Raw genomic sequence first — 23,064 nt, 5'->3', positions numbered from 1 at the left:
AACTGTTAAACATAGAGTTACCATATGATCCAGCCATTCCACTCCTAGATATATAACCAAAAGTAATGAAAGCATATGTCCACAGAGAACTTCTACAGGAATATTCATAGCAATGTTACTCATAATAGCCAAAAAGTGGAAAAAACACAAATGTCCATCATCACTGATAAATGTGTAAATAAAATGTAGTATATTCTTACAATGTAATATTACTTGTCAATAAAAAGGAATGAAGGATTGATACATGCCACAACATTGATGATCCTGGAAAACATTATGCTAAATGAGAGGAACCACATGTTGTATGATTCAATTTATATAAAATGTCCAAAATATGCAAATTTACAAAACAAGAAAAATTTGTGGTGGCCTAAGGATGGAGAGGGAGTCCCTAGGCTTTGGGGGAAATAGGGAGTCACAACTAATGTTTATAGGGTTTCTCTCTGGGGTGATGAAAATGACCTAAAATGGATTGTGGTGACATGACAGTGCGTGAATATACTAGAAACTATTTAAATGGGTGGCTTTTATGGTAGCAAATTATGTCAATAAAGTTTTTTTTAAGTTAAATAAATTGACTCAGAGGATGTTAGTGCTGGGTGTGAATCTCTGAGGGAGGATTACGGTGTGCGATATGCCAATCATCTTTATCCATATAATTTATTCTTGTAGCATTTTGATGAACACATTGATTACAGATCCCAAATTGAGGTTATTTTATTTTTTCAAATGTAGAACTAGGATGCCAGCTTGTTATATTTAACAAATCATGTATATTTTCTACCTTTTGATTATTCTTCTAAAACACTAAAAAAGTCTAAGTATAAATATTTAATCTATAAATGTAAGTGTCTTATACATAAAAGGTTTATTAAATGAGTGGGTCTTGAGATGAATGGTAATATTTATTGCAGAGATATATCAATCAGTGGGTTTTCTCTCTCATTTACAATCCTGTTGCAAGTATGTTATCTTGAAGAAATCACACATTTCCATATGGGAACATTTTCCTTTGGTTGCTTAATAATAAACATGATCATTTTAGCTTAATCCTTTAGGCTATAGAATTGCAAAGGTTGGGGGAACTACCTCCTTGTATTCTAATCAAAAATTTGTACTTAATGAAACAGAAACTTTTTAGTGTAAGTAGCCATGTGCTTATTTAATTCCAAGATATCCATGCCCTGTAAACTTTCCAGTGATTACAATTGTAAACATATACAAAGCCTTCTCAGCCCTGAGATCCAAGCATGGAGAACGTGACCGTATCTGTGGTTTAGTCTGTAAGAGAACAACATATCCCAAGGCTACAGCATGATCAGTTTGGAAGGGACCTTAGAGGAGAATACGTTTAACTCTTTCATCTCAGTCCTCTAGTTCCATAGCTGAAATCCTACATGCCTTGGTCTCTGAGTTGCTGAGATGAAGAGTGAAAGTGTAATTAGGTCTCTGGATTCAGCCTAGTGTTTCTTCCAACATATCATCTTGTCTTTCAAAGTAAAGGGCAACATGGGCTTCTTTACTCTTGACCATATTGTCCACAATAGTGGAAGTGCATATGACTATGAGAAACCCACCTTAATTGGTGGGGGCTTTTCTCATGTATGTCAGAATCCACCAGGCTCTGCTGTGTTCAGAAAACACCTGCAAATGATTCAGTGCTTAGCCTTCTCATTTATCCAGAAATTTGTTTGACATTTCTAACTCATTTGTAAAGGAAAACTAAAGTAGATAATTAATTTTCGTGCTCTTTCAGAATATTTTAATATCATGCTGCACTGGATAAATGTTTCCATTTTTATTTTTATTTAATGCAGCTCTTTCTATTGTGCACTGTCATTCTCTGTGTCTTTTCACATAAAAGTTCCTTGTTTTTTTTCCATTTTTTTCTTTTAATTGTGTTCTCTAAATATAGCATGAGCAGGAACCTCTCAGCTAATAGATTTTCAATTACTTCACTTCTGCATTTACAGATTCTCCTCTCACTACTTCATTAAATCAATGCTAGTGATACACATAGGCAACTTTACCGAAAAATAGCTCAAGACTGAGAGTTATTAAATTACAGTTTCAACCTGCACTTGTACCCCTGAAATTAAAATAATAGTTAAAAATAAAAATAAATACTAGTTAAGAAGATGTCTTTCCTTTCAAACAGTGGAACTCTCACCATGTTTCACTCTTGCCGTTTCACTGTTTGAAAGGAAAATCATATTCCTTTCACTAAGTTAAGTTTACTCAGTACTTTTGTGGGGAAAACAATCAAGTACCTATAACTAGATCATATAAGAACCAAATGGTCTTACAAAATGATTTCATATTCAGTTTGATTTATCCATAGATCGATTATGCACAATGTCTTTAAAAGCATAATTAAATTTTGCATAATCTCTGAGGGAAACAGCACAGTAAGGAATGAATCTTTCAGATGTCAACAATTTTGAAAATATCTTTCTAAAGAGTATCCACATGTACGTAGAACTCTATATGTAGACATTTAAAAATACATTCAAGTTTATTTTATATGTATATAAAGCCTCATTAACTTGCTAAGTCAATTACAGACTAAATGAAATTCTAATGAGAGCTAGAGATCTTTAAACTTTGTCAGGAAACAAATTATTTTAAAGTGTTTAGAAGCATTCATTTCCATGTAAAAATATGCAAATAGAAATGTCTATTCATTTTAAAAGTTCATATGACTTCTATTTGGTAAAGTGTAGTTTTCATTCCTTATGAAAAGTTGCTTTGATTAATAATATTATATAATTCAAGCTTACTGTTTAATATTATTTTAAAAATGGGTGTTCCATTAGGCTATGATTCTTTTTTGTTCAACCCTATATTCCCAGTATCTAGAGGAGTGCCTGGCAGATGGTAAGTAGGTACTCAATAAAAAATTTGTCAAATGAATGCTTAACAAATGAATAAATGCTACTGTTAACATAAACATTTAACATTACCAAGATCCCTTATCTTCAGTGATTCCTAGTTCAGATTTAAGGTAAGAGGATGTTGCAGCCAGTAGTGGTCCTGAGATAGGTCTGCTTTTGCCAACAAACAAGGCTTTCCCCTGGCCTTAATTCAGAAAGACCTCTGCCCAGAGAGGGTCCCCACTAATAAGGAAAAATCAAGCTTGAACTCCAAGTTTATGTTACACTTCCATAGTGATCTGTGCATCACATCATTATGAAAACAACAATTTCAAGCTTTAGAATACAAAAAATAAGAGTATAAATGAATGAAGGCAATTAGTGAAAGTGAAATATCAAGGAATTGGATTTATTAACATCTCAAGGGACAGTATTTAAATTATAATCTTAAAGCACTCAGCAAACTAAGCCAATACATTTCCTACTCTGTGGTAGAGTAAGATGTAGCCAATAATTGTATCATTACTTTTATGAATTTGTAAATCAAATCTGATTCATCACTTAGTAAAAATCATTTAATTATTATAATTATACAGTAACTAATTTAGTGGTCATGTGTGCCTGATGTTGTCAAGGAATAATATACATGACTTGGCCCAAACTAGTTCTGCAAATATAAGTTATGTCTAATATTTTCAATTAATTATTCCAGAACCAGCACAAAACCAATCTATTACAAAAATATTTTAGACTCCCAGATTAAAAGTACATAATATTTTAAATTATTTTAAATTAATAAGCTAAGGTTTCAGGAAGCTTTTTCTTTGAATTTGCATAAAAGATTAGTAAATTTAATTTTAGTGTATATCTTAATCAACATGATATAAAGAGCTTAATCCAGTGATTCAGGACAATAGCAGAAAATTAGAATTTGTGAGTTTATCTTTAAGGCTAGCGTACACACCACACATATCTGATATATGACAAAACCCTTATCTTTAGTTATGTCCCTTAATGGCTCAAGAAAGAGCTGCATGATTCCTGTATCTGTGAAGCTGGACTGAAAGAATTTTTATTGGTTTTATGAGTATATTGAGATGTGGCTGAAAGCCAGTGTTTAAATTGGATTGCTTCCATATCTTTCAAAGATTAGAAACATACAGCTAAAAAAAGAGCAACAAATATCAACAGAGTTTTCTGGAAATATCAATGTAAGAAAGATTCCAAGCAATTCCTGCTAAACCATGATGAAAAAGGAAGTAGCATTGCAGATATGCCCAAAACTAGAGACAATCCCAATACTTCTGCAATCATTCACTCATAAATTCCCCTCAGTATGAAATTCTACATACTTCACTAAAAATGAAAGCCAAGTTAGCTCCAAAATATCATCTACATCTATCATTGACACCAATAAAAAACAATTTATTACACTAACATAATTGTGATATTATGTTCGGATAAATAGCTGCATTTTGGGGGTAGGTGATCACTAACATCTATTGCAAGCCAACGGAATAACCACTTTGAAAAAATGTGCACATTTCCAAGCATTTTGGTGATGTTCATGTGTGCCCCTAATGAATATGTAGCCATGAGTAGCAATTTTAGACTCAAGTCCTATTGGATAAAGGGAAACACCAACAGCAACCGGTTGAAAGCTTTGGTCATCATTCATTCGTTTAACAAATGTTTATTGAACAACTGGAAGATAGTTGGTGTAAAAAAGCCTTAAAGACAAAATAAGAAGTAGCTACGTGAGATGACAGATATGTTAATCTGCTTCACTACTTTAACTATTTTACTATCTGTATATATTCCATAGCATCATGTTATAAACCTCAAATATGCACAATAAAATTTATTTTAATTGAAGACTAAAAGAGAATATAGAACATATATAAGTAATCAAATATATAATTTACAATTTACAATTCTGAAAGGGAAAAATAAGTCATTAGATAATAATGAGAACTTAAGGAGTATTTAAATTAGATGAGGAGACAGAGACAGCCTCTTTGAGGAGGTGAACAACCTGGAGATGTACGTGGCAAATATAGCTAGTGTGCATAGAGCAAACATATGGATCATTGGTGGTCTTGCCTTTACTGGCTTTTATCCATAAGCCAGTTCTGCTTTGACATCCTCAGTACTACATCCATAATTTCAGAATTCCCTTGTTTCTCTCATGTTCCACTCCCTGGACACCTGACACCCCCATCAACTTTCTTGCCCCCTCACTTCTCCCGCCTGGGTTTCTGGCTGAAGAGCTAAAGCTGCAACTCCATGGCCCTGCCTCACTGTGGGTCAGGGGCAGTGACAGCCAGATATGTGGCATGAATGGGGACAAATCTCAGTAGTGATACATCAGTTTGGCTAAAAAGCTTTGCTTGATGTTATGGGAACAATTTCTTAGCACAATAGGCAAATTTTAATTTCTCTCAAATTCAAATACTATATTTAAAATATACTTAAGTAAAAAATTTTATTTAATTCTCCATGAACTGATTCTTTTCAACTGTATAGCAATATGCTTAAAGTCTTAGTGTGCAGTTTACCTAAAATAAAAAATGAGATTTATAGAATTGTTACTATTCTCTGAAAGAGGATTTGAACTTTCACGATATGTCTACAACACACTATTCTTTTATGTAACAGACTTATCAGATCTTTTATTTAATGGAGACAAAAAGTCATCTGGTCAGATTATACTGGTGCATACAATAGTTGCATAGTCAATTGTTTTTATATATAAATATTTGTAAGTGCTAAGCCTGAAGATTTCCTAGAAAGAAAGAAAAAGAATCTCTTAAGAATATTATATCACACCCAGACAAACAAAACTCACAATACCATAAAAGATAAATTATTATCAAGGGGAGAAAAAAATACAAAAATATAATATGGTTACCGTTGAGCTCAATTTTTACAATTTCAAGCACCTTTTTAAGTTTTTGTTTCAAAGCTCTAGAGCTGGACAGAACATAAATAGCTACTTCTTTCTCAGTATTTTATACATAGAAGAATAAACCTAAAATGACTTTTTTTCCTTATATAGGCTAGTATAATAGTCAATAATTAGAGAGCCTTATAAAGGCTATCCAATTTTTTAAAAAGTAAGTTGTTTTTATGAGCATTATCAATATTAAGGTTATTCTCTTTAGAAATATATATTTTTCCCATAATTCTATATATGTGTACTTTTATTTATTTATGTCTGTCTTCTCTACTAGACTGTTACCTCCATGAAGGCAGTGTCTTCATCTGTCTGGGCTGCTACAACAGAATCCCATAGAGTGGGCAGCTTATAAACAACAAAAATTTATTTCTCACAGTTCTGGAGGCTGAGAAGTCCAAGATGGAGGCACCAGCAGATTCAGTCTCTGGTGAGGGCCTGCTTTCTGGTTCATAAATGGCTACATTCTTGCTGTATCCTCACATGAGGAAAAGAGAGGGAGTTCTCCTGGATCTCTTTTCAAAAGGCACTAATTCCATTCATGAGGGCTCCACTTGCATGGCCTAGTCACCTAACAAAGGTTCCACACCTCCTAAAACCATCACCTTGGTATTTATGATTTCAACATATAAACATTTTTAGGTGGAGAGGAGAACACAAATATTCTGTCTCTAGCAGTCAGGTACCATTTCCATTTTTTGTGCCACATTTTTAGGCCCTCAATATGTTTTTATTGAAACAATGAATTTTTATAATGATAAGCAGACTATATGGTACTTATACATAGGAATTAAAAGTCCCTGGATCTAATCTACTTGGGAGGCTGTGGCAGGAGAATCTTTTGAACCCTGGGGGTGGAGGTTGCAATGGGCTGAGATCATGCCACTTCACTCCAGCCTGGGCAAAGCCTGGGCAAAAGAGTTAAATTCTGTCTCAAAAACAAATGAACAAACAAACAAAAAATCTCTGAATATTAACTGAAATGCAGGAGAGAAAACATGAAGGCCAAAAGTAATTTAAGTTTCTAATTATATTAGGAGAATGAACCAAAAAGTGACCTAACATGAGTCATATTTTTCTCCTACAAGAAAAAAATCTGAAGTATTAAGATACATTTCTCTTTCTAACACTAAAATTGTGAAATAGTATGAAGTTAAAAAAATAGAAATCTAGTGTAATATATTCAGACAGGTTATGAGTAAATCAGTACAGAAAAATATAACAACTGATGACTGGGAATAAGGCTTACCTCTGTTTTTGAAAGTTGAGGATAGAACACCAAAATGTAGGTTTACATTCTTAAAATCTGCAATCGCATAATAATATTGACCGATATTTATGGTCCTACTTAGCCTTGGTTAAGAACCCTGTACATAGCAGACCTTCAATAAATGCCCATTATTAATACAAACAATATTCTAGAGGTAAATAGCAACTTGTGTGAGTTTACCTTTAGCATGTAAGATATGGAGTCACAGTTAAAGGACTGGAAGAAATGGCAGGAAGGACAACTCTCATCTCCACTCAAAATCCTATTTGTTCCCATATTTTTGTGTTCAGGAAATGGAGGGTTGGCAGCAAGGAAAATACACTTTGCATCTATCCTGTACTATGCACTTTACACAAACATGATCTTATTCCAACAGAATGCTCTGAATTATCTACATTGTCTTTATGAGGAAATCAGCTAACCTCCTAAGAAGAATCCAAACCCTGGTCTGACTCCAAACCCTAAATTCTTCACACTTCATCTTATTGACAGAGCAGAACATAAAGATAGGGCTTAAGAAAGACTAGACGAGGCAATGGAAACTATCAGGTTGGCTTCAAGCACTAACATTATCTGGCCTAAAATAAAATAGAGGTGCATATCTTGCTGACCATAATTGGAGACGGGGAAAGGCAGCCAGTGAAAGAGGGAACTGTTGATTGTTAGGATGCCCCCACCCTGCCTTTTTTGTTTGTTCGTTTTGAGACAGAGTCTCTCTCTGTTGCTCAGGCTGGAGTGTAATGGCGCGATCTCCGCTAACTGCAACCTCCGCCTCTCAGGTTCAAGCCATTCTCCTGCCTCAGCCTTCCGAGTAGTTGGGACTACAGTGCGTCACCATGCCCAGCTAATTTTTGTACTTTTAGTAGAGACAGGGTTTCACCATGTTGGCCAGGCTGGTCTGGAACTCCTGACCTCAAATGATCCGCCCGCCTCGACCTCCCAAAGTGCTGGGATTACAGGCGGGAGCCACTGCGCCTGGCCAGGAAGCCCCTTAACTCCAATTTTTTTTTTTTTTTCAAATAATCCCTTCAAGTTACATTAAAGAAAATGCATTGAGTTTAATAGAGAGAATAAAGTACATGTTTCGGAGTCAAATTCCCCCCACCTCATCCCGCCCCACCAGGTTTGAATGATAAAACATCAGAAAACCTGCTCTAGAGGTTCTTCATAAAAATCTCTCTCACAGCTGTAGATTGGCACCTGCAATCCTGTCGGAGCAATTTATGTCTTTCCTCTTGGTCGCCAGAACACATGCAAGAGAGGAGAACAGCCCAACACACACCATTATTCCACATAAGCAAATCACAAGAGCTTGGGTGGAGATGCTAGTCACCTGGAAAAACAATCCAGGAAGCCCTTTCACCTTGCTTGATGATGACTAATCAAATGTTCACCCAGGAATGTGCTCCTTTCACTCAGCCAAGAGATCACTCTAGTCATGTATCAACCTCATTATTTTCTTTTTAGTACATTTTAAACATTTTAAGTAATAGACTGAGAAAGCTCAGCTATCCAGGGACCAGTTTTCTGGAACTTTCCAATCCTAGAATTCTTCCTGACTAGCCAAACAAAACCAAACTCCAAACCTATTAGCAGAATTAGCCCCTGCACAGGCAGCAATACATGAGTACAATTGAAAAGGGTCCTGGACCCAAAGATCAGGATGACCCCACTCTGTTATGGATGTGTCAATTCAAAGAGGTTAATAACAATAGACCACAGGCAATTTTCTGAAGAATGAACAAAAATCTGTTGAGAAAAGACCACCTCAATTAAATCTTAGTGGGGGATGGGGAACCGGGGGAAGAGCCAAATCATGCTACCAAGGAGCATTTTGTGGCCGCAATATTTCATTCTATGTTTTAAAGAAAAAGAGATTATTACCTACAACTTCTTCAAGAAACCAAGTTCTAGAGCCTGTGCGGATAATTAGCTTCAATCTTTGTGGACACAGCACCTACATCTGCCTACATGTGGGATGACTCTGAGTCATCCAGAGCAAAGTTAAACTACTGTTTAGTTAGGCCATAGGCCCCAGTTGTTCAATCAAACATTAATCTAGGTGGTGTGGTAAAGGAATTTTGTAGATATATGTAACATCTATAATCAGTTGATTTAAGTAAAGGAGATTATCATCAATAATCTGGGTGGGTTTGACTCAATCATCAAAAGAACAGATGAGTGCTTTCCCTGATGAAGAAAACATGCAGCTTAAGTTTCCTCCAAGGAATTCCCAGCTTGCAGATTGCCCTAAAGATTTTGGACTTGCCCAGCCAGCCTCCATAATCACATAAATCAATTCTTTTCAATAAATCTCTCTCTCTCCACACACACACACACACACACACACACACACACACACACACAAACCAACATATATGCACACAACATATATATATAGGTATGTATATACATACATGTACATTCTCCATAAATTGCACCTAAAGTTATGTCAGAGCAATTTCTGTTTTTCTGGTGGAGCCCTGACTGACCCATACAGATTTCTGCCCTAAGAGTGGTTCCATAAGAATAGAATTTTTAAGGATAAGCTTTATGAATTGGTTTGGTTCTGTTATTCTTGGAATATGTTCTCTAATGTGATTAAATTTAAAGGTATTAAAGACAATTCTCAGTTGTGAAGAGGGTACTGGTAGTCTATGGCATGATGTGGCAATGGAGAAACACAAATATCACCACTGAGTACTCATAATCAAATATTTGTAAAAGGCAAGGTTTTAGGTGACCATATATTTCATGCCTTAGAGCATTTTAGCCAAACTAAAGAGTATGATGAAATTGGCAGGTTGCTGCCAACTGTACTATGGAAAATGGAAAGAAAAAGATAAACTCAGGGCTTGAAATTTCCTGTTCAAGCTCTGTATAAATAACCTGAATACTTCTGTGTCTGCCCAAAAGCAAATCCTTATCTCCTATAACCACAGGGCTAAGATTTCAAAACCAGACTCTCACACTGTGTGTTGCTGAATTACAACACAAAATGAATTTCTCCTGTTAAAGTAGGAGGATTGATTGAGAACAAATGGGATCTTGAAAATTAGAATGGGGACATATGGGAAATCCCACTCAAACTTGTGACATCAAATCTCTAAATTCTGATGAGTTTATTTGCCAATAGAAAAATCTTTTCACCCCTGTCTGAGGTTAACTCTGCGTTGCCTAAAGAACCAGTAATGGCTGCTCCTGAGGTAGGTGTCTTGCAAGACCCTGTTGATTCTCCTCAGAACTTATCCCTGACACCCCTCTTTGCTTCTAGACTTATAACAAGACTCAAGTACCAGCAGGCCCTAAAGATTAAGGTACAAAGTGTAGTCCACAAGGAAGTGTGCTACATACCAAACGAATTGCATGAGTTTTCCAATTTATACAATCTGGGGAATACGTAAATGAATATTAAGTATGTGGGATAATTGTGGAAGGAACATAAACTTGAATCACATAAATCATTTCCTATCAAGTGCATTCCTAGAGGGATTATAGGGATTAGTGCCACCATCAAGGACTTGAAGGATGCAGGGGTAATGATTCCCACCACATCTTGTTTCACTCGTCTATTTGGCTTGTGTAGGGCCTTCCACCATAGTAAAATTCCCATAAAGTTGAATTAGGATGAATTTATTGATATCATCCCACTAAGCAGAGATTCTGGATTCAGTATTTTAGCTCAAAGGGTTAGAAAAGGCTCTAACAGTTTGGTTCGTTGGCTGAAACATGGACTACAAGGCGGTCTACATTAAATGAAATCAAATGCCAGAATTAACTGCCTTGCTACACTGAAGAGGAAGTTATCCAAAGGCTAGAGAGGGAGATCGAAATAGTAGAATAAATTTATCATGTAAGACCTGCTCACATACCCCAGGAGAGTCCTTAGGACACACATTTCATCATGATGGTGAGAAATAAATTTGTGAGGGGGGCCCCAGCACCCTTAAAGAGCTCTGTGGTCATCCTTCTTACAGGTCAGACATTACAGTGGGAATTGCTGCCACTGAACTGGGTGGGATACCTAAATGCAATAAGGATAATTGGCTCCCAGGCAGCCTTAATCATCAAAGACAAGATTGATGTGGTTACACAGTGAACAGCAAAGACAATGCAGTAATCAGAATAGTCTAACTTGTGGAGACCTTTGGAATTGGCTAGTTGATCATGGTGTTTCTAGAAAAGAAATAGGTAATCTACTAAATTCTTAATCTGTATATAAACAAGGGTTATAACACTACTGAACTATGGAGTGAGGCCAAGTAGAAATCACCAGAGCTGTCTCCACTTAGAAAAAGTGTAAATCATAAGCAAATCTATATTCCTAGAGGGATTGCAGAGCTCAATGCCACCATTAAGGGCTTGAAGGATGCAGGGGTGATGATTCCCATCACATCTCATTTACTCGTCTACTTGGTCTGTGTAGGGCCTGCCACCTCGATGAAATTCCCAGGGATCTAGTAGTATGGGGCATGTTAGACATATCCTTTCTAAAGTAAACATTAAGTTGTTGCATTTGGCTTCTCATACAACCAAAAATGAAGCACAATGCCAAGTGGGCCTCTTTGGATTTTAGAAGCAACTTATTCTTTATTTCGGTGTACTACTTTGGCCAATTTATCGAGTGACCCAAAAAGCTGCTAGTTTTAGGTGGGTACCCAAATAAGAGAAGGCTCTATAACAAGTCCAAGCTGCCATGTAAGCTTCTTTGTCATTTGGAACATATGATTCATCAGATCCGGTGATGGTGCTTGAAGTGCCAGTAGCAGATAGAGATGTTGACTGCAGCCTTTGGCAGATCCCTGAAGGTGAATCACAGTGCAAACTCTGAGGCTTTGTTCCAAAACCCTGCCATCTTCTGAAGACAGCTACTCTTCTTTTGAGAAACAGCTTTTTGCCTGCTACTGGGCCTATATAGAAACTGAACACCTCACCATGGGCCACCAAGTTACTATGAAATCTAAGCTGCCCATCATTAAATGGTTGTTGTCTGACCCACCAAGCATTTTAACGTTGGGTATGTACAGCCACACCCCAATATCAAATGGAAGTGGTATATATAAGATTGAGCTGAAACAGGCTCAAGTAATCTACATAAGGAAGTGGCCCAAATCCCATGGTCCCCACTCCTGCCTTTATCTTCTCTCTACCAGTCAGTACCTAGGGTCTCCTGGGGAGTTCCCAGCAACCAATTGACTGAGGAAACAAGATTTCAGAGTGGTTTACAGATGGTCTTGCATGATATGCCAATGCCAATGCTCTACTGAATGTAGAGAGTGATTGCACTACAACCCCTTTCTAGTACATATCTGAAGGACAGTGCTAAAGAGAAGTCTTCCTAGTGGACACAACTTTGAGCAGTGAAGCTGGGTGTTCATTCTACTTGGAAGGAGAAATGGCCAGACGTACAAGACTATATTGACTGATGGGCTGTGGTCAACAGTTTGGAGATGGCCATCAACTTAAAAGGAACATGACTGAAAAATTGGTGACAAGGATAGCTGAGAAGAGGTATGCAGATAGACCTCTCTAAATGGACATAGAACATAACATTCATGTCCCATGTAAATGTTCACCAAAAGATGACCTCAGCAGAGGAGAATTTTAATAATCAAGTGGGTAGAATGACCCATTCTGTGGATACTGCACTTCTTTCCCCAGCCACTGCTGTCTTTGACCAGAGGGCTTGTGAACAATGGCCATGGGGAGGCATGAAGGTTATGCGTGGGCTCAGCAACATGGACTTCCACTCAACAAGGAAGTTGGAGATGGGCCAACCTGACTTCAGCCACTGCTGAGTGGCCAATCTGCCAGCAGCAGAGACCAACACTGAGTCCCCAATATGGTATCATTCCCTGGGTGATTAACCAAGCTACGTGGTCACAGGTTGATTGTATGAGACTTCTTCTATCTTGGAAAAAGTGCTGCTTTGTTATTACTGGAATTATATACTTACTATGGATATAAATTTACTCTCCCTCATGTAAAGTTTCTGTCAAAACTACCTCCTCAAATTTACAGAATAATTCATCCATGCTTACAGTAATCCACACAGCATTGCTTCTGATCAAGGAGCTTACTTCACAGCAAATGAAGCAAAGAAACTCTAATTCACTGATCTTACCATGTTCTCCATCATCCTGAGTTAGATGGCATAATAGAAAACAGTGGAATGGCCTTTGAAAACTCAGTTATAGTGCCTAGTAGGTGGCAGTATTTTGCTGGGCTCTAGAAATATCCTCTAGGAGGCTGTATATGTTCTAAATCTAAATATGTATGTGCTCAATATGTGGTGCTTGATCTCCTATTGCCAGAATTCGTGAATCCAACAATCAAGGGGTGAAAATGAGAGTGGCATCACTAATTATTACACTTAGCAATCCACCAGAGAAATTTTGCTTCATGTCCCCACAACCTTATGCTGTGCTGGTGGAGAGGTCTTAGTTTCAAAGGGAGGTGTTCTTCCACTAGGAGACGAAAGGGTTCCACTGAACTAGGAGTTAAGGCTGCCACCAGTCACTTTGGGCTCCCCAGACCTCTGAATCAACAGGCAAAGAAGGAAGTTACTATATTGGTTGGGGTGGTGAATCCTGATTACCAAGGGGAAATTGGGCTATACCACGCAGTGGAGGTAAGGATGAGCCTGTCTGAAACACAGGAGATCCCTGAGGGCATCTCTTATTACTACCACATTCTGTGAAGAAAACCACAATAATTCAATTCAGACAGGACTGCTAATGGCCCAGTCCCTTCAGGAATGAAGGTTTGGGTCACGCCGCCAGGCTAAGAACCATGAGCAGCTGAGGTGCCTGCTTAAGAGCAGAGAATTATGAAATGGGTAATGGAAGAAGGGAATCATAAATACCAGCATTGACCACATGGCCAGTTCTAGAAGCAATTCTGTAAATTTTAAGCATCCCTTATTTTGTTAGAAATGTGTGTGCACATGTATTTAAGATTTTTGCTTTCTTTCCTCTTTTGTCATTATTATCTAACGTAAGATATATTCATAATAGCTAACTTTACATCACAGTGTTTAAGCTACAGAATGTCAAGGAGAACAGTGAATGACATTGCATCCTCTTCTAGGGAAAGGGTTACCATGTTTTGGGCTGGAAAACATGCTTCAAGATAGCTGTATTGCATTAGGTGGAAGAATGACTTTGCTATGTTCTTTATTTTGAGATTAAATATGGTTTCAGGAAATGTGCATGAGTCTAAAGTTGCAAAGTGTGGACTGTGATGTGGTGATCAGCTTCATGCGTCAACCTGACTAGTCTATAGTCCCCAGTTAATCAATCGGACACTCACCTAGGTGTTTGTGTGAAGGAATTTTATAAATGTGACTAATATCTGCAATCAATTGACTTTAAGTGAAGAAGATTATCCTCAATATCTTAGTGGTCCAGATTCAATCATCTGAAAGGGCTTAACAGCAGAACTGAGGTTTTTCCTGAGGAAAAAGAAATTCTACCTGTGGACTGAAGCTCGAACTCTTGCCCCAGAGTTTCCACCCTACTCTTCTGCGAGTGTGTGGATTCCTTAAGCCCATTCCTCACAATAAGTTTCTTAATGTATATCTCCTACTGGTTCTGTTTCTCTGTTTTTCATCTGTTTCTCTGGTGGAAGCCTGACTGATAAAATTGCATATAGATTGTGAGGGCATGTAAAAGTGGAAAATATTAAAATAAAATTGCATATAGATTGTGAGGGCATGTAAAAGTGGAAAATATTAAAATGACTTCCAGTAAGAAAAATTCCATTAAAAAAGGAAAGCTTTGTCATCCATCATGATTCCCAAGGGTGTACTAGAAATATAGTATTTCTATGAAGAAGGTGTAAATTGAGATATGAAACTAAAACCCAATATAATAAACTACTTGCCCCAAAGTCACAGAGGTGATAATTTGAAGCTATATTTTATGACAGAAAAATTTTATTTTAATTACATAAATTAACTTCTATTTAATAAATGAATGCATTGTTTCTCTAGACAAGGTTCACCATTGTAAAGAATCTAATAAAAAGAAACACGGATTTTTTCCTCTATCGAAAGTAGTACTTGGAAAAACAATGATAGCACTTTGAAACTTCATAGTAACTTAGATTTTTTAAAAGTGAACATCAACTGGAGATTTAATTTCAAAATGTAAAGCATGAGAATGCTTAGATTTTGTTTTGAGGGTTTCATTTTTCTTTGACTTCAAATATATAGGTACACATAAAGTCTAAGATCAATAATAGAAGGCTGTTAAATGCTAAGACTCAAGCAAAAGAGTCACTATTCAATTTTTTTCTTAGTCCTTAGAAGTGAAGGCCCTGGTTTGATGTAGGGCATTCCCAAATAATGTAACTGGGGCTGATATTCCCCCAAATAATGACTGTCAGGGAAAAAGCCAGTTAACACTCATATTATTGTAAGGAAATTAATTTCAGCAACTTCCACATAATTTTCTCTTCTATTACAAGCAAGCTTCAGTCAAAAACAAAGATCTACTTCCTAATTCTTTCATTTTATACTTTCTTCTTAGATAGATAACCTCTTCCTAAGGATAAATCTAAGCAGAATAAGGAATAATAACACCTCCATATTGCGTGCTTCACTTCGCCTAGGCCCCATGTGAGCAGTTTCAACCGCAGGAAGTTAAGTCTGATCTGAAGGTTACTATGACCTTTGCAAAAAAAAAAGGCAAGGCTGATTGTATCAAAGTTGTCTTTTAATCTCTTCATCAGTAATAAAGTAAAGCACAATTTTGTAATTAACACACTTGAGTTTTTCAGTTTTCAAAAGGTGACCATCACATGAGTCTGCACTAAGGAATATGGAAGTCAGCATCTTTAAAGACCTTCCTGGCTCCCAGCTCCAGTATCCTTCCAATCCACATAACCCCCAAACCTGAGGATGTCACAAGTATCCTTTAACCCGTGGCCCCACCTAACAGAGTCTCTGCTTTAATGCCCTATGTAGTTCACTACTCCCTCCAAGATTGGCCTCTGTGCTGGTCTATCCAGGTTTCCCAGGGCCTGTATTTCAGGCCCCAGCCTCAGCCCCAATCCTTGGGACCCACAATCTGTGAACATATCTATCTGTTTATCTGCCTGGATATTGTCTGCTTCCAGACTCTGTGTCACCACAACCCACCCACCTGCTGGGACACCATCTGCTGCACCTTGCTGGTCCTAGTGGACTCCGACCCCCTATCTGCCAGGACAACCTCCTGTTGACATCATTATTCTCTCCAGATAATCAGCCTACTAGCTCGGTTGGACTTTCTCCCATCAGCGGAAACAAGTTCCAATTCCAATGGCCTCTTTCACACTGGAGACCATGCCGTCATTAAAAAACAAACTAACCCCATCCTCTACCACCAACTCTTATACTGACAAGTTACACTACTCTTTGTCCTATAAAATATGCCAACTTAACAGGTTTTAAGAATAATTAAAACAGATTGTGGATTATTTAAGAAAGAGTTATGTGTGTATGATAACCCTAAAAGATAGAAGTCATGTACCAACCTGTACTAAAGAAAAGTGATAAACAGCAGAATATTTTCACTGCCAATAAAGAACTGAAAAGCAATAATCAAATTCAGCTTTCCAAACAGTCTGCCATCTAATAGCACAGTTATAAAGACAAAAATTGAAAAATAAAATAAATGACATTAACCCTTTAGGAGATAAAATGTGTACCTAATGCAGAAACAAGTTCCAAACCCAGTTACAGGAGTTGTCACAGTCCATACAACTCTAAGATATATGAATATTTTGCTAGTTTTTAAAGCAGTCCTTTATTTCTGCAAATGTGCCTTGATTTAAAACAAATGACAAAGAAATCATCAGTGTTAGCTGTATAATCATTAATACTCCACATAGAAACAATGTTTTCACCAGTTTAAGTTTAATAATTTCAAGATGTATTGAAAACAAAGGCAAGAAACACTTAAAATGATAACAATTCTCAAACTCAAAGTACTGTTTGTAGACATCAGATCTAATGAGGTCACATCACATTAAAATGTTATTAAATAATTAGCTGTACAGGCAATATTCTAAGTACTTTACAAATATCAACCGCTTTAATCTTCTTAAGAACGCTGGGGGAGAGGCACTAATATTAATACCATTTACAAATGAAAACACAGAGACAGAGAGATTAAGTTAATTTACTAGCTGTCACACAGCTAATAATAAATGACAAAAGTAAGACTCAAATTCAGCGATCAATGGTTTGATCCCCTGCACTTTGCTGCATCTCTGAATGACTTCTGAGGCTCCTGTAGCCAGAAAGGGGCAAAGCAAGGTACAGAATAGAGATTTGACTTCCACTGTCTCATGCTGTTTCCATAAAATCATCTGGTCAGTTCAAATGTTCACCTAGTGTTAGAAAGACTAAGAAATTCTATGTGGTGGACCAGTCAATTGTCACAAGCAAAAACAGCAAAAGAAATATAAAGTATTCCTGAAATCACAACTTTATGTGATATGATTAAACTATGATGTACGTTTAAATACCAACAACAGAATTCACAAACTAACATATAGAATAATTTTAAGTGAAGTGGCTCATTTTGGGTTAACCCCTTGCAATCAGCTCACACGATATGAAAAAACAATATAACCACAACCCAGATTAAACCAAAGAAGAGCTTTCACTGATATGAAGCACTGTTTTTTTTTAAGCCGCACTACAGCAACCATACCCACACAAACAGAACTGACATATACTAAAGACTTTACCAATAATTAGCAATGAAAATATTCATGATGTCTTCCAGCAATTTAAAGATACATCTTCTAAGACAAACAAACAATAATAATCAGTCTATGTGCAGCTTTTAAATAGTGATTTCATCTTTATGAAAGTTATAACCTCAACCTTTTAATGTTGTGTTTTAAAAAAACCATACATTTACACTTCCCTACCAATGAAATTTGATTTTTTAAAGACTATAGTTAAAATTTCTATGCTATTTACAAGGTAGGATAATAGTTTGACATTAAGTTAATCAAAAATATTAGGTGTTCTCAAGCATCTGTAAATTAGAATACTACAGGCTGAACGTATTTGTAGAGAATTCAAATTACCATTATTTTATTAAGAACATTAAGTGAAACTTGAAACTTAACACATGAGAGATCTTTACTTGTAACGTATCACTTAACTTATACTGAGTATTTTAGCAATTACATTTTTATTTCCAGCAGGCAATCAAGAATACTGATTTTAGTGACATTGGTGATAGAGTGGTGATCATAGCTGCCTTCTAAAAATGCTGATTTTTAATTATCTTATAAATGTGCAAAACGTTTTGGAGAAACAAAATCAAATTTGAAGTGAGTAAAACTTAATAGTTAACACCAGGTTACATAGCTGGTTAATGGCAGTCCTTGAAATACCTAGCTCAAATCTCAAAATCAAACAATTGCATGGGGTAAGAAATAGAAAGCTTTCTACTCCTTTGTTCTGTTTGTTATGCTGCTTCTTATGTTTAGAAAACATGTAGGGAACTAAGATAATGCATTCTTAGAGCTGCCTCATTAGAAAAATGAAAAAGCTTTACCTTGTCTTCAAAATGGCTGGTAACAATATAGCTTTAATTTATTCATTTTTCCTTATGCTTGTTCTCTCCCCTACCAGGTACACCTAAATACTGCCTCTTTTTTAAAAAAATTAAAAATCTGCAATCCTTTTAATCCTAGGAGCTATACTAGTTTAGAAGTTTAAAATAAAGATGTAATGAGGAATTTGGTGTCCTAACACCATGAATCATAGTGATACAATAGTAATATCACCTTGACTATGAAGAATACCTGAGACCAAGCCTAGGTAAAGGAAATTGCAGGCCTGTATTGAACATGCAAGTTTCAGGCTATGTTTTAATTAGTGAGTCAATTTTCTGTCTCCAGTACATTGGCACACCCAAACCTTAAAGATATGTCACACTCATTAACTAGCCGGAAATCAAGACAACTGTAGGACAAAACTAAGCTGACAGTCACTAGACAAGTGATGATGTCTGATCACCAGTGACACCTTATTTTCCAGACCACATTCTCCTACCTAGAGGGACAAATGGGATAGAGTGAGAAGAGGGAGCAAATAGCTTTACCTGGCATGTGAGATAGCAAGCATAAGGAAACAATGATAGATTAAAACTATACTCTTACCAGCCATTGTGAAAGCAAGGTATCAGACTTCATTTTTCTAACGAGGTGTCTCTAAGAATGCCTTATCTTAGCTCTCTGCGTGTTTTTTAAACATAAGCAGCAGAATAACAAACAGAACAATGAACTAGAAAAGCTTTCTATCTCTTGCCCCATGCAATATTTTGATTTTGAGATTTGGGCTGGATATTTCAAGCACTGTCATTAACTAGCTATGTAACCCAGTGTTAAAAGAACAACTTTAGACAAAATAAATTTAAGAGTTTATTTAAGAAAAGAATGAATAATCAAAACTGAAAGAGGTTCAAAGAGCTCTGCTCTAGCAGCCTAAGCAGTGGGCTTTTATAGTCTGAACATGGAAACAAAGTAAAAAAAATTACTTGATTAACTATAGCTATGTATTTCCGTACAGTTCAATGGGAGGTCTCTTGTTATATAATCAATCAGCTAGCTGGGTGTCTGTGATTGGCTGAAGCTCAATTCAAAATTAATCAGTAACAGCTGGGAGCTGTGGCTCACGCCTGCAATCCCAGCACTTTGGGAGGCCGAGTTGGGCAGATCATCTGAGGTCTGTAGTTTGAGACCAGCCTGGCCAATATGGTGAAACCTGGTCTCTACTAAAAATAAAAAATGAGCCAGGTGTGATGGCATGTGCCTGCAGTCCCAGCTACTCGGGAGGCTGAGGCAGGAGAATCACTTGAACCCAGGAGGCAGAGGTTGCAGTGAGCGGAGATCATGTGGTTGCCCTCTGGCCTGAGTGACAGAGTAAGACTCCATCTCAAAAAATAATAATAATAATAAGCAGTAACAAGGAATGCCTCTAAGTTAACTTTTGGTGTGGCTTGTATAAGGGTTCTGGAAACAGAAACAACCCTAGATGAATGGCCTCCTAATTATTTGGCTTTAACACCAGAAAGTCACATCACCTCTCGAAGCTTTGTTTTCTTCATATGCAATCTGATCCTTCATTGTGGTTTGCCTGGGAAAATTCTAGTTTATTCATATTTTCCTGACTTCCCATCCAGTTTAGCTTTTGCCATTTTCAAAAGTTCCCAGCACTGGTAATATATAAAGCCATAAATTAGAATGATGTTTTCTTCCAACTTTTCTAGCAATAACGTTCTGCTATCCATGGGCCCAATTTAGGAGTAGGGAAGGCCACTAGATGTGAATAGCAAATGAAGTGTTTCATTTACCAAGTGAAATACAAATTTCACAGGGAGAACAGAGCTAGAACTATATATATCTACATATATTTCAAAAACAATCTTTTGAAAAGAAGTGTGATATTATTTTTGTAAGTTAAAAAACACAAATCAAGACTAAATATTGGAATGGTTGTATAAATACATGAGTGAAAATATAAAATAGACTGGAACAATGCATACTAATTCATAGGAGCTTCTGAGAGGAGACTTAACTGTTGCATTTTATTTCTTTATAAAGGAGACTTTAAGCAGACATTATAAAATAAAATGAGTCAATTTTGGGAGGTGGGAAATTGATTTTATTCTTTGTTCTCTTCATTATTTAAATGTCTCATTATTGAAATTCATATTCGTATAATATGAATTACACGAATAAAAAACAGAACACAGACTATGAAAACAAAGAGAAGGTGAAACTAACCTAAGATAGGCCTGGAAAAGTGAGCTCACAGTATTGAAATATTTATTTATTTAAATATTCATTATTGCAGCTGGTAGGCATGTGAGAAGTGAACCACAGTTCGTTGAGTTAACGTTCTTACCGGCAATCACTAATTGCTTTATGTGTCTCATGTTGGCATAATCTTGCTCTAGTTCACCACCTGAGTCCTTCTGGACTTTTTACTGGCTAGTTCAAATTATGCAACAGTTGATACCAACGACATGATTGAAAAATAGGAATTGATTACAACACAGATACTTAGAACTAAACCCTAGCAACTTTCAAACTCATCCAACTTGCATGAGCAGGCTCTCTTTGAACATGTCACAACGTGTTGTCCAAGATCTTCTTTGATATGACAAACTGAAGTTGACAGTACAGGTCTCTTAGAATACTACAAAGTAGAAATTGAGCTAAAAAAAATCTTTCCAGCAACTAAGAATAGGTAAATAATAAGGAAATGGTAATGAAGTAGAACAATTGTCTTGGCAGCTTTTCTAATGTTGTATATGTTTAGCATTTCTCACTGTACATTTTAGAAACATTTTGTTTTTATGAATCCCAAATAAGAAGAGAGGATCTTTTTACGTTAGTGGGTGTCATTTTAACTTTCTGGGTTGTTTAAGGGAGTCCAAATGTTTCCCAAGATGACATTCTAGTTCCCATGAATTGAGTACCATCTATTGAGTGTCCACTATATAGCAACCATTTTGAATTAGTTCATTTACACTCATTATTTTTTTCTCTTCTCACCACAGCCCCGTGACACGTACTATCTCCTTTTCTCTGATGTAGGCACTAAGGATCAGAGATGAGAGATTTGGTCAAAGCCTAAGAGTAAGTGACAAAGCTGGTAGATCTAACTCAAAAGCAGCCTTGTAGTCCCTTATTGTATTGTCTTCAGGCGAACCCTTCCCACATCAATGGTTTCAACAACAGACCCTGGAACTTTTGTCTTTGGAGATGAATTAATTACCCACCTCCAAAACCAACCCGTCACCCTCCCACTTATGACCAATCAACTCAGTTATCACAGGTAGCTTGTTATAATTTCAGGAAGCCTTTCCCTTGATTAAGCAAAAATGTTTTCTCCTCTAATTCCATCCATTCAAATCTAGTTTTCCCTTCTCAATCACACAGATTTTTTTGACATGATATTTCTCACGTAATTGAAGAAAGTTAGCGCATCTTCTCTAGGACCTCCACAAAGAAAACATCAGCCACTCCTGATATAACACCTTTTGGGTCTCCTCACACTCCTCTAGTCAATTTTTCTCTAGTTCAAAATTTCCATGCTAGTGATTCACAGACTCTGGAGAATTGCAGTGTCTTTAGCTCTGATCCCCACAGCTCACAACAGTGCAGGGCACAGGGTAAATGGAATAAGCACTCAAAGAACACTTACGGAATGAAGAATTGAGAAAATGAGTTTGGCACACTGCAAACATTAATTGACAATGACTTTGATCACTAAGAATTAGTGCTAATCTGTTAATGATCACCTTCATTCTTTGTATATATTCCCTTTACTCTCCTTGACAAGGGTATCTGTGTGTTCTGCTCCTTTGTTTGTTGGTTGTTTTGTTTTGTTTTCCATTTTCCCCTCGAGAATTCACTGCTTACAGTGTTTGGACAGTCTTCAAAAAGTGACAGTCTGGCTAGCATGAACATTAACAAGATTTATTCTTTAAGTTTAGGGTTATGCTTGTTTGATTTGGTTAGTCGTGCTTAAAACAAAATGGCTAAGTTTCTCTTTTGCCTTTATTAGCCAAGAGAAGAAAACATTTTACACAGTTCTTTTGACTACTTCCAGACTTTTTTCTGGTGGTGGTAAAAGAATATATGTACTAAGTGTAGATTTATGAACAAATAAAGATACATGTTTAAAAATCAATGTTTATTTAGCAAGGGTATTAGAGCTAAGGTCTATTCTGTAGTCTTTTTTTAGTTTCAGGCACTTTTAGGCACATCTCCTGAGCCAGCAGGATGAATCTGCCAGGGATATAACTTCATGAATGTCTAAAAGTTCTTATAGGAAGGACAATGATGATGGCTGTTAACCAAACCCCAGGACCAAGACCTGCCTGGCAAAAATCCACTTCTTAACAGTCCCAGTCCTTGTGTAAGTAAGGGAAAAAACTCTTTAA

General features: G+C 36.7%; 1 protein-coding gene across 14 annotated transcripts in view; it reads right to left on the bottom strand.

The window, feature by feature from the left end:
• PKIB (cAMP-dependent protein kinase inhibitor beta) overlaps positions 1-23,064 on the bottom strand; it is a 254,453-nt gene that overhangs the window by 64,615 nt on the left and 166,774 nt on the right. The window contains exon 1 of one of the 14 annotated variants that reach the window (NM_001270395.2): positions 8,984-9,030. The exons of 12 other annotated variants lie outside the window; for them this stretch is intronic. The gene's annotated coding sequence lies outside the window, so the exon portion shown is untranslated. Of the gene's footprint in view, positions 1-8,248; positions 8,414-8,983; positions 9,031-23,064 lie in introns of those variants that run through there. One more of the 14 variants, XM_047419004.1, reaches the window with a different exon arrangement.

This window comes from Homo sapiens, chromosome 6, assembly GCF_000001405.40.
Source record: "Homo sapiens chromosome 6, GRCh38.p14 Primary Assembly".
NCBI classification, from domain to species: Eukaryota; Metazoa; Chordata; class Mammalia; order Primates; family Hominidae; genus Homo; species Homo sapiens.
This window is presented reverse-complemented; position numbering and strand designations above follow the sequence as displayed.